We start from the raw sequence: 13,158 nt of genomic DNA on the forward strand, positions 1-13,158 counted from the left end.
TACCAAATTGCTAATAAACACTGCAGAAAATAGGTATTTGTATTACAGTGGTTCTTTTAAAGATTTCAAAGCATTCTAAAAATATCTAAAAGAGATTTGGACATTAGTTTAAATTATTATTAATTTTTCTAAATACATTTGATTATAATGAGGTCTAATTTATTTTAGTCCTAGCCAAATTTTTCTTATGTCCTCTCTTCTTTGGGCTCTTTTTTTTTTTTTTACAGCGGTTTGTTTTCACAAAGAACAAATCAAAAGACATAAGCACCCAGAGGCTGAAGTACTGATTAAGCTGATATTAAAACACAACTGGGATTGTCATTTCCTGTTCTAACCATTTGATCACGCTGCCTTCTGTTTCTGTGCTTCTTTCCTATTTTTCATTAGAAATTTAATACATTGGTAGGGGAAAAAGGAGCTCAAATGAGTGGAGGGCAGAAACAGAGGATCGCAATTGCTCGTGCCTTAGTTCGAAACCCCAAGATTCTGATTTTAGATGAGGCTACGTCTGCCCTGGATTCAGAAAGCAAGTCAGCTGTTCAAGCTGCACTGGAGAAGGTAAGTGAGCAGAAACGTTTCTTATTTCCATACTCCTGGTTCATTATTGTTTTGAAGTACAAGAAAGTATAGATCTGTAATAGATTACTCAAGTTGAGAGCCCTCTTAAGGTATAAAGGCAGGATGTTAATCCACTGAGAACTTACGTGATGGCTATAGGAAGTGGTTTAGAGGACAGAAGGAGATGCTGTGGTTGGTTGGTGTAAAAATATATACATGAGGCTGATACACAAGCAATCATCCAGTCTATACCTCCATTCCAAGTGGTTTGCACTTTCCACCTCCCTAGAGTGGCCCACCACTATCATCACTATTATAACCATGCCCACCCTTTGCTTCTTCTACATACACCTGTGGGATTCTCTTCTCTGACCACTTTTCTTCTTTAGGATACCCCCAGGTATTCATTTTGACCTAATTTCACCTCAAGTGGAGAATCGCTGACCTTGAACCAGCGCCCTTCGACAGCTCTGGCCCCTCAAACCTCACCCTGACCTCCTGCTGCCTATGAGCTACTGCACATACCTCAAGGCCATATGCAGTTGTGGCCCTGCACCAAATTACACTGAATCTAGGAGGGGAGTTGGCAGTGGCGGTATGAAAAACCATTGAACAGTTTTCTCGATGGCCTGACTCCCTTATAAACCAGAGCCTTCAGACCCCTTACAAGGCTTAATGGCACATTTTACTTTGCATTTGCTTGGAAGTGAGTTAAGCGTTTTTTTTTCTCTAAGAAAATCGCAGGCTTCTTTTTTTAAAATGCTGACTTTATGGAACCAGAAACGGATACTGGCAGGCTAAATGTCCACTGCTTCTTGAAAAATCTCTTAGTTACTATTATTTAGTAGCAAATCAGATTGTGCAAGTTTGAACGCTTGTTTCCCTCCCATAATAACAATGCCACATGTTGCTTGTGTGATAAATAATCTTTGTTTACTGTGGACACTTCGGCAATTTGGTTCATCTTGGTACAGAAAATACAAAGACAGGACTAATATTTTATTCATTTTTTATACTTAGTAACTAGGACAGGGATCTGTATTTAGACTATATTCAAGCCTCGCTCTGTCACCCATGCTTGAGTGCAACCTCTGCCCACTGTGTTCAAGCGATTCTCCTGCCTCAGCCTCCTGAGTAGCTGGGAGTACAGGCGTGCATCACCACACCCAGCTAATTTTTGTATTTTTAGTAGAGACAAGGTTTTGCCATGTTGACCAGGCTGGTCTCAAACTCCTGACCTCAGGTGATCCGCCCACCTCGGCCTCCCAAAGTGCTGGGATTACAGGTGTGCGTCTCCGCGCCCGGCCAGTTACATAAGATTTTAAAAAATGTATTGTAATAGGCTCTCTGATTGTTTAGAAGGTTTCATGTTGTGCCCGCAGTATTTTCATCCACTGGTAATCACTTTAGGTAATCAAAACTAGTTCAGACTTTTAAAATAAATAGTTGCTTGGTGACATGATAAACTAATAAATGTTATTCTTATTGGTTAATATGAAACATCTATCAAAAGTGAAAAAAGAAGAATGCAGAATGTTTGTAAACTGATTCCAAAATTACACAAAATAGCAACTGTGAAAAAAATGAAGGCAATATATGAAAATAATAACAGCTATGTGGCATAATTATGGGGGAATTTAACTTATTTCAAAAATTCATTTACTGTCCCTGTTTTTCAGTTGTTTAAAGGAGAAAGAGATTAAATCAATGTAGAAATAGGTGTGAAACTGCTTTATGTATGGTTTGCTGGGTCAGGATAAAGGGTAACCAATAGGATGAAAAGTAGCACAGTAAACTAGATTAATCATATACTCTTCAGTTTATTGGAAAATGGCTTATGGAGAAGGGGAGAGTTCAAATACAGGCAGGGTGATGGAAGCTGTAGCACCATGACAGCCCTCTCCTCTCACCACCATAGACTGCAGTTATGGAACCAAGCCCTTGGAGGGGGCCCTGGGTAAGAAAGGTAGGACATCCAGCAGGTCTCATTCCTGATCAGCTGTCTAAGAGGCCCCAGACTCTGTTATATCATACAGCCTAACCCACACAGTTAACAGTTTTATGCTGCTCAAAATATCCTGCAAGCCACTAACCAACGAAAGAAGACATAATGAAGTGTATCCCTCCTCCCTGGTGATAGAATCTATACCCACTTCACTCCACAACCTGCCCTCACATATCCCTTCCATCCCCTCCTCTCCATTAGTCATTTATCTTCCACTTATACAAAGTTCTAGAACCTGTGAAACCAATCAATGGTATTAAAAAATCAGGTCAGCAGTTTCTTAGGGCAGGGGTGAATTCTAACTAAACAGCAACATGAAGGCACTAACACCCTTTTCCTCACTTGGACTATTGCAGTAGCTAACTCTGCATCAGCCCATGCCCACTTCAATCTGTTCTCAACACAGCAGCCAAGTGTTGCTATTCAAATGAAAATTTGGTGACATCGTACTTCAACTTCAAATCATCCAATAACTCCCCACCTCACTCTAAGTAAAAGCCACATTCCTTACAGTAAGCACAAGGCTCTATGGAGCTGGGCTCCAAGCTCCTTCTGGAACTTCCCTTCCTACCATTCGCCCCAACAATGCCTGCTTCTTAAACATACCCTCACACTTTTCATTAGCTAACACACAACGTATATGTTTGTTTATTTTGCTATTGTCTCTCTTTCTCCACTTGAACGTAAACTCTCTGGTGGTGAAGGCTTTGAGTGATTAACTGCAGCATCCCCACCTCTAGAACAATGCTGGCCCTTAACAAACAGCCAACAGATATTGTTGGATGGACTTCGATGAGTGTGATCCAGGATACTTCTAAGACCAGAAATATTCTTTTTTGCTTTCTTTCTTTTCTTTTTCTTTTTTTTTTTTTGAGACCGAGTCTCACTCTGTCACCCAGGCTGGAGTGCAGTGGCATGATCTTCACTCACTGCAACCTCCGCCTCCTGGGATAAGCAGTTATCCTGCCTCAGGCTCCTGAGTAGCTGGGATTACAGGCACGCACCACCACGCCCAGCTAATTTTTGTATTTTTAGTAGAGACAGGGTTTCACCATGTTGGTCAGGCTGGTCTTGACCTCCTGACCTTGTGATCTGCCTGCCCTAGCCTCCCAAAGTGCTGGGATTACAGGGGTGAGCCACCGCGCCCAGCGAGACCTGAAATGTTCTTTTCTGGACTCCTGGATTTAGAATAACTACAAACTAGTTTTGTTTCACTAATGTTCAAGAAGAATTTCTAGCGTCAGTGAATAAAGGTTCATGTCATAGGGTGTGAGTTTCACTCTGCTACTTGTTTTGACCTGGTGTGCCAATGCAGCAGGTTTCCAAGCTGCCCCACTAGTAGGAGACATGGCAGTGAGCACCTGCAGGCCCCTGGGGAAGCCAAGGAAACCCACACTGATTCTGTGATAAAGCCTGTGAAAGCTCTGTGAAATGTTAAAAGTGGTATGCAAATCTAAGGCATCATTATTATTAAGGGAGTTTCGGCCACACCACATCAATGGAGAACCTCTTTGGTAATTATGAAGGAAGAGTTATCATCACAATATTATTCTTTGAAAACACAGGGTTGCTTTATTGCAGCCCTCACGGGCACGTCTTAACCATCACTGTGCTTTCTCCCTATGATGCGCCCCGTTGGTCTTCCTCGGAGACCTCTTATGTTGTATTTATACTACTTAGAGGACTGGACAATAAGGAAATTGGTGTATTACATTAAGCTGCCGGCCACTGGATTAAATTAAGTTCTAAGAAGTGATTATCCAAAGTCGAAGTTAGGTCAGAGTAAATTTTACACACAAACACACACACACTAATGCACACACATTTTGAATGTCTGTGTCAATTAAACATCTCACTCTGTATTTGGAATTTTGAAAAATCATTTATAGCAACACTGTAATAGTTGGGAACAGAAAGGGAATTTCTCCAAGGGAATTTCCTTGGCTGAAATTTAGACAGAAAATCAAAGGTAACACACAGACTACCTCATGCAAAAAACATGATTGGATATTTTATAAACCTGCTTAATCAAGCTCACATTTGTAGCGCTTGATGTTAAATTCTAAGCCACTAACTTCTTTCAGAGTAATGGTCCTTCTCCTTTGATAGATCAGGGCCCCTTTGAGAATCTGATTGAGAAAGGGAAAAATAAACCACCATAACTCTTTAGAGAAGTATACAAATTCACTTATACAAAAAGACTTACACGTACTCTTGAGGGAGTCATAGACCCCCGAAGCCATTTGTGGGTCCTTATTTTAGATGTAACAAAGGAACAAATGGATGATAACAGCTAATCCTCACAAGATCCATATAAGATTAAGACATTTATTCTCCTGTTTTACAGTTGAGCTGTAAAATACACTGAAGCACAGGGAGGTTAAGTAATAGGTAGGCACAGTGAAGCCAGAACCCAGACCACTCATCCTTCTGCCTCATTCTTGTAACCACCAGGCTATATTGCTTCAAGATTACACTGCCGGGAGGTGGAGCTAAAACCGATTCCAGATCAGGCTTCAAACCTCTTAATAAACATAGAATTATCAAATTTCACTTCTGAGTATATGCCCAAAATAATTGAAAGCAGGGTCTCAAAGAGATATTGGTATACTAGTGTTCATAGTAGCATCATCTACAGTAGCCAAAAGGTGAAAACAATCCAAATGTCTGTTTACAGATAAATGGATAAAGAAAATGTGGTATATACATACAATGGAATACTACCAGTTTTTAAAAGGAAATTCTGATGATGCTAAAACATGAATAAACCTTGAAGAATTATCCTAAGTGAAATAAAACTGACAAAAAAGGATCCATATTGCTTAATTCTGCTCACATGAGATACATACAATAGTCAAATTCAGAGATGGAAAGTAGAAGAGCGGTTACTAGGGGCTTGGGGGATGGGAAAGCGGGGAGTTAGTGTTTAATGGGTATACAATTTGAATATGAGATGATGAGAAAGTTCTGGAGATGGGTAGTGGTGACAGTCGCACAACAGTGTGATTAAGATTGCAAATTTTATGTTAGGCTTTTTTTTTTTTTTTTTTTTGAGATGGAATCTTGATCTGTCACCCAGGCTGGAGTGCAGTGGCATGATCTCAGCTCACTGCAACCTCCGCCTCTCAGGTTCAAGCGATTCTCCTGCCTCACCCTCCAGAGTAGCTGGGATTACAGGCACACACCACCACACCCGGCTAATTTTTATATTTTTGGTAGAAATGGGGTTTCACCATGTTGGTCAGGCTGGTCTCGAACTCCTGACCTCAAATGATCCACGCGCCTCGGCCTCCCAAAGTGCTGGGTTTACAGGCATGAGCCACTGCGCCCAGTCAGGCAATTTTTTTTTTTTTTACCAAAAAGAGAGAGAGAGAGAGATTAGTAATCTAAGCCTGAGTACAAAAGAACAGTGAAAAAAAATTAATAAATAAAAGAATAGTGACAAAGAGGAATTTGGCCTCTCAGAGTCAGAAGGATCATACCCTTTAAAATGGCTATAATGGTAAATTCTGTATTATGCATATTTTTCCACAATTTTAAAAACAAAACACAACTAGCCTTTTTTGGAAAACCACACTCACACTGTCTTCTTGGGAAAGAAATTCAAACCATACTCCAAATCGAAGCTCTCATGTGGGTTAAAACCACTTTTGTTCCTGTAAGTTGTTTATTTTTATACTATTGTATAAATAACTAGTAGAATTCTCTTTTATAAATTTAGGTCACTGTTACTTAGCAGGACATTCCAAGGTTTTAAAGAATATACTAAAAGGTCTTCTAAGACATAATAAAATATTTTTCCATGATATGGATAAGCATCTTGGTGATTTTTGTAAATTAAAATTATTCCTAAGCCTTTCCTTCCTCCCAAAATAAGGAAAATGCCTATAGAAGATACTGATTTTCCTAAGTGCTATCAAATAAGTGATCTCAATGTATTATTTACCAAGAATAAAAATAGGTAAGCTATTATGCCCTTATGGAAAAAAATAAACTAATTATTGCAGCATTTTCTCTTCTTACCCACCATTTACTCTTCTTACCCACCATTTACTTCATCATTTATTTTTTATTGTAAATTTCTCCACAAATACTTAAATGATTAGCTTGTTAATAAAGTTAAGTAAAGCTGGGAGTGGTGGCTCACACTGTAATCCCAGCTACTTGGGAGGCTACAGTGGGAGAATCACGTGAGACCAGGAGCTCAATACCAGCTGGGCAACATAGCAAGACCTTGTCTGTAAATAAAATAATAAAATGATTTTTTAAAAGTTCAATGAAGAGAAAAGGTATTAAATGATGATAAATAATTTTATGTTATCTCTAATTCTTAACCTTCATGTTAACTTATTTAGAAGTGACAATGAAGAGATTCCAGGCCATAAAAAGAAAACATTTTACCATTATTATGTTATTATTTCACGTTCCTAATTAGGTAGTACACGTGGGTTCATTTTAGCAGAGTTTACATTTTGAAAGTGTTTCTTTTCTAAAGGGTCTTAACCCAAGCATTCATGCATTCACATGAGTAGATTTCTGCAAGCTGGAAAGAAGGGTCAACGAGCAGGTGAGTCACCCATTAAAAGTGACTTCTAAGTTCCTGATATTTTGCTATTTGTCATCCCCCTTGACAAAAAAGAAAGCATTCTCGGACCAGTGACGTGGTCTGACAGTAACCCCACATTGTTGAGCCCTGGAACCCATGTCGACCCAGAAGAACATTAAGCCAATTGGCTTTCAACATCACAGTCAGGTAGTTAAGAAACAAAAGGCCTATGTTTCCCGTTCAACTACCATGGTGACCTTATTATAAAAGATGACCAGCTAAAATTTGATAGCCTAAAAGAAATGACACTGAAGAGTAGTGAGAAGTTCTCAGACTGTATTCTTGGAGTACTAGGGTACTAGGGTCTCCAAGGAGCCTCTCAAGGACTGAGAGAGGTGGGGAAGTGAGGTGGACAAGCAGGTAGGGCCGTACCCCCAACTCCCCTGCCAATTCAAGCAATGCAGTGATCCATTTATCTGGATGAGATAGAGATGGAAAGATAGATAGATAGATAGATAGATAGATAGATAGATAGATAGAGATACATACATACATACATACATACATACATACATACATACAGATATAGATATACAAGCTTCCAGATGAGCTTCTATTTGTTGAAAGGATTTTGCAGTTAAAAAAAAAAAAAAAATGTTGGGCCGGGCCTGGTGGCTCATGCCTGTAATCCCAGAACTTTGGAAGGCAGAGACAGGCGGATCACCTAAGGTCAGGAGTTTGAGACCAGCCTGACCAACATGGAGAAACCCTGTCTCTATTAAAAATACAAAAATTAGCCGGGCGTGGTGGCACATGCGTGCAATCCCAGCTACTTGAGAGGCTGTGGCAGGAGAATCGCTTGAACCCAGGAGGTGGAGGTTGCGGTGAGCCGAGAGCACGCCATTGCACTCCAGCCTGGGCAACAAGAGTGAAACTCTGTCTCAAAAAAAAAAAAAAAAAAAGTTGACGATAACAGCACTACATCATGGAGTACATGTCACCGATGAGCCCCAAATCCAACTGAGGCAACCTTTTGGAAGGCAGTGAGTGGGAACTTGTGTTCTCGTAGGTTTTCTATGCCACACTTGCCCCCAGGTTACTAGAACTCTCTGTGCTGACACGCTTTCCCAGAAACTGTGTTATGCCTGGTAATGGACCCTCTCAAATGCTTGAGGCTTTGTATTATTTTCCTTTCTTTTCCTGCTGCCCTCTATGTTTACGGCAAGTCCCATAACCATCACTGGTGAGAATCTAGCTGATCTCCTCAGGTCCGTATCTCTGCCTAGCAATTCTGGGAGGGATGTTTTAAAGCACCCTCTTTTTCAAAGTCCAAAATAATGACCTGGTGATGTATGGCTGTGCATGGAATTGTAAAGTAATCTGAAAAATGTCAGCAAAGTGTCAAGTAGAGACCTGTCTTCCTGGTGACCTTTGTTTGGTCAAATACCTAATTGTTTGGCTTTTAGCTTTGTGTAATCTGTGAAGTAGGATAGGAGATACTAGGAAATTCTTTCAATATTGTATTTTCTAGAAAAAATAATACAACAAAGACGTATTGATAATCTACCACACTATCTACGTTGAGGTATCTGGAACCACAGTGGTATGAATTGCACTATCTCCCTAATCTTTACACTAATTCTGGCTAAAAGACAGCATCAGCTCAAATTTTCCTGATCAGTTTTTTAGCAGGCTTTGGCTGCCAAAATCTCTTCTGTGTTTTAAGTCTGAAGCAATTACAGTTGAATATTTTGTTGTTGTTCACTATGAGGAGTATATCGGTTTTAGGTCACATGAATGATCTAGTAGAGATGTATTTTTCTAGTACACTTGATAGTACCTTGAATATGTACAGTACATGTAGGCCCATTTTATGGACCTCTGAGGCACAGTTTTTTCCCTTTTAAGTTATTAGATATTTCTGTGATTTATTTGATGCACTCAGATACAAATTCATGCTATAATAAGTTAAATTGTAACATAATATCTACCTTAATCAAATATTTATAGTTTAGGCCAGGAGCCTGGCAAAGTAAAGATGACACAGATGAAATGCTTGATAAGTAAATAAATATGAGAAGAGATATATATTAAAACACCTGTGAAGTGAATCCCCTGTGAAGAAAAGAAGGTCTCTAACAATATAAACCTGTATCAGGAAACCCTGTGATTCTGATTCTGTGCACAGAAGGATACATGGAATTCTCAGACCTTTTCTAGTTGCAACCTTTTAATTGTTTGACTTTATATTCTGTCCTCTCAAATTCTCCTTAGACTGTGACGTGTTAATGCTCTCTTTTATATTTTCTAATTAAATTCCATACACATTAATTTGAGAACTGTTGGAGAGTATTGTGAAATCATTGAGCTAATGGGTCACATCACGTGGCTTCATGAATAAGATTTGAGATCTGTTTGCTTTTGGAAAATAACATTCGCCTCTGCCCCTGCCCCTGCCCCTGCCCCTGCCCCTGCCCCTGCCCCTGCCCCTGCCCCTGCCCCTGCCTCTGCCTCTGCCTCTGCCTCGTCTCCCTCTGATGCCGAGCCAAACCTGGACTGTACTGCTGCCATCTCGGCTCACTGCAACCTCCCTGCCTGATTCTCCTGCCTCAGCCTGCCGAGTGCCTGCGATTGCAGGCGCACGCCGCCACGCCTGACTGGTTTTCGTTTTTTTTTTGGTGGAGACGGGGTTTTGCTCTGTTGGCCGGGCTGGTCTCCAGCTCCTAACCGCGAGTGATCCGCCAGCCTCGGCCTCCCGAGGTGCCGGGATTGCAGACGGAGTTCGTTCACTCAGTGCTCAATGGTGCCCAGGCTGGAGTGCAGTGGCGTGATCTCGGCTCGCTACAACCTCCACCTCCCAGCCGCCTGCCTTGGCCTCCCAAAGTGCCGAGATTGCAGCCTTTGCCCAGCCGCCACCCCGTCTGGGAAGTGAGGAGCGTCTCTGCCTGGCCCCCCATCGTCTGGGATATGAGGAGCCTCTCTGCCTGGCTGCACAGTCTGGAAAGTGAGGAGCGTCTCTGCCCGGCCGCCATCCCATCTAGGAAGCGAGGAGCGCCTCTTCCCCGCCGCCATCCCATCTAGGAAGTGAGGAGCGTCTCTGCCCGGCCGCCCATCGTCTGAGATGTGGGGAGCACCTCTGCCCCGCCGCCCTGTCTGGGATGTGAGGAGCGCCTCTGCTGGGCCGCAACCCTGTCTGGGAGGTGAGGAGCGTCTCTGCCCGGCCGCCCCGTCTGAGAAGCGAGGAAACCCTCTGCCTGGCAACCGCCCCGTCTGAGAAGTGAGGAGCCCCTCCGTCCGGCAGCCACCCCGTCTGGGAAATGAGGAGCGTCTCCGCCCGGCAGCCACCCCGTCCGGGAGGGAGGTGGGGGGGGGGGTCAGCCCCCCGCCCGGCCAGCCGCCCCGTCCGGGAGGTGAGGGACTCCTCTGCCCGGCCGCCCCTACTGGGAAGTGAGGAGCCCCTCTGCCCGGCCAGTCGCCCCGTCCAGGAGGGAGGTGGGGGGGTCAGCCCCCCGCCCGGCCAGCCGCCCAGTCCGGGAGGTGAGGGGCGCCTCTGCCCGGCCGCCCCTACTGGGAAGTGAGGAGCCCCTCTGCCCGGCCAGCCGCCCCGTCCGGGAGGGAGGTGGGGGGGTCAGCCCCCCGCCCAGCCGGCCGCCCCGTCCGGGAGGTGTGGGGCGCCTCTGCCCGGCCGCCCCTACTAGGAAGTGAGGACCCCTCTGCCCGGCCAGCCGCCCCGTCCGGGAGGGAGGTGGGGGGGTCAGCCCCCCGCCCGGCCAGCCGCCCTATCCAGGAGGTGAGGGGCGCCTCTGCCCGGCCGCCCCTACTGGGAAGTGAGGAGCCCCTCTGCCTGGCCAGCCGCCCCGTCCGGGAGGATGGTGGGGGGGGTCAGCCCCCCACCCGGCCAGCTGCCCCATCCGGGAGGTGAGGGGCGCTTCTGCCCGGCCGCCCCTACTGGGAAGTGAGGAGCCCCTCTGCCCGGCCACGACCCCGTCTGGGAGGTGTGCCCAGCGGCTCATTGGGGATGGGCCATGATGACAATGGCGGTTTTGTGGAATAGAAAGGCGGGAAGGGTGGGGAAAAAAATTGAGAAATCGGATGGTTGCCGGGTCTGTGTGGATAGAAGTAGACATGGGAGACTTTTCATTTTGTTCTGTACTAAGAAAAATTCTTCTGCCTTGGGATCCTGTTGATCTGTGACCTTATCCCCAACCCTGTGCTCTCTGAAACATGTGCTGTGTCCACTCAGGGTTAAATGGATTAAGGGCGGTGCAAGATGTGCTTTGTTAAACAGATGCTTGAAGGCAGCATGCTCGTTAAGAGTCATCACCACTCCCTAATCTCAAGTACCCAGGGACACAAACACTGCGGAAGGCCGCAGGTCCTCTGCCTAGGAAAACCAGAGACCTTTGTTCACTTGTTTATCTGCTGACCTTCCCTCCACTATTGTCCTATGACCCTGCCAAATCCCCCTCTGCGAGAAACACCCAAGAATGATCAATAAAAAAAAAAAAAAAAAAAAGAAAATAACATTCGTAACTTTGAGGAAACAGAATAAATAGAGATTTATTAAATAAATATGAGCCAGTAGGCTAGGTGCCTGAGTGTTTTTGCCTTCGCGGTTGTCAGGTTTCTAATACATACCAACCCAACAACAGTTTCTGGGACTCTCTTTTAAAGGGCTGTAGGCAAGTCCCAGGTCTCCAAGACCCAGAATAGAATTCAAACTTGAAGTGTGAAAGAGAGGAGTGGTATCAGCATAGGCTGAATATCTTACCTGTAAAAAGGAAGACAAATCAGACGAACTCAAATTGAGATATTCTACAAAACATCTAACCAGTGTTCTTTAAAACTATCAAGTTTATCAAAAACAAGGACAATCTGAGAGACTGTAACAGCCAAGAGGAGCCTAAGGCGACATGATGACAAAATGTACTGGGATATTCAGGGATGGGGATCCTAGAACAGAAAAAGAACGTGAGTTGAAAATTAGAGAAATCTGAATAAAATATGGAGTTTAGATAATGATGTGTCAATAGTGGTTCAGTAGTTGTGGCAAATGCATCATAGAAATGTAAGATGTTAGAACGCAGGGTACATGGAAGCTTCCTGCACTATCTTTGCAATTTTTCTGTAAATCTAAAGCTATTCTAAAAAAAGAAAAAGAAAAAAAAAAGGTTGACGTTAACAGCACTACACCATGGAGCACATGTCACCGATGAGCCCCAAATCCAACTGAGGCAACCTTCTGGAAGGCAGTGAGTGGGAACTCAGTGTTTACTTAAAAAAAAGACTCACATTTTTAACCAATTTTGTTATACCATTCATAAGGGTGTGCTGTATAAGCGAGGCTTAGAATTACCACACCAAAGTAAATGCGAGACTGAGAAAAACAAGAAGCAAGCTGGCCGGGTGCGGTGGCTCATGCTTGTAATCCCAGCACTTTGGGAGACCAAGGTGGGCGCATCACCTGAGGTCGGGAGTTTGAGACCAGCCTGACCAACACAGAGAAACCATGTCTCTAATAAAAATACAAAATTAGGCAGGCGTGGTGGCACATGCCTGTAATCCCAGCTACTTGGGAGGCTGAGGCAGGAGAATCGCTTGAACCTGGGAGGCGGAGGTTGCAGTGAGCCGAGATCGTGCCATTGCACTCCAGCCCGGGCAACAAGAGCGAAATTCCACCTGAAATAAAAAGAAAAAAAGAAAAGCAAGAAGCAAGCAATAAAAACCTGTTCCCCACGTATCAGTCACTCATTAGTTTAATAAAATATTCATAAACTTGACAATATCAGAAAATAAAGAAAGCACTAAGCATGTTAGTGCTTAGTATAACTCTCTTCTACTGTAGAGTAGGTTATACCATAAAAATGACCCATAGAAACTTACATATGCTGATAATTAATTTCCAGTTAAAAATACCGAAATCTGCCTGTCTGCAACTCTATATCACAGTTGTCCCCAATCTACTTTGTCATTATTTTTGCAGGGCATTCATTAAAATGTCTCAGTCTCATTCAGGATTCCTGCAGAACTTTAGAATGACCAACTGGGC

The 13,158-nt window shown here is 43.6% G+C and overlaps 1 protein-coding gene across 4 annotated transcripts in view; it reads left to right on the plus strand.

The window, feature by feature from the left end:
• Positions 1–13,158, plus strand: part of ABCB5 (ATP binding cassette subfamily B member 5) — a 141,342-nt gene that overhangs the window by 42,452 nt on the left and 85,732 nt on the right. For 2 of the 4 annotated variants that reach the window (NM_001163941.2, NM_178559.6), the window contains one exon: positions 388–558. In NM_001163941.2, the coding sequence (NP_001157413.1) occupies positions 388–558 (171 nt within the window). Of the gene's footprint in view, positions 1–387; positions 559–947; positions 2,286–8,640; positions 9,449–13,158 lie in introns of those variants that run through there. The other 2 variants (NM_001163993.3, NM_001163942.2) reach the window with 2 other exon arrangements.

This window comes from Homo sapiens, chromosome 7 (assembly GCF_000001405.40).
Source record: "Homo sapiens chromosome 7, GRCh38.p14 Primary Assembly".
Taxonomy (NCBI): Eukaryota; Metazoa; Chordata; class Mammalia; order Primates; family Hominidae; genus Homo; species Homo sapiens.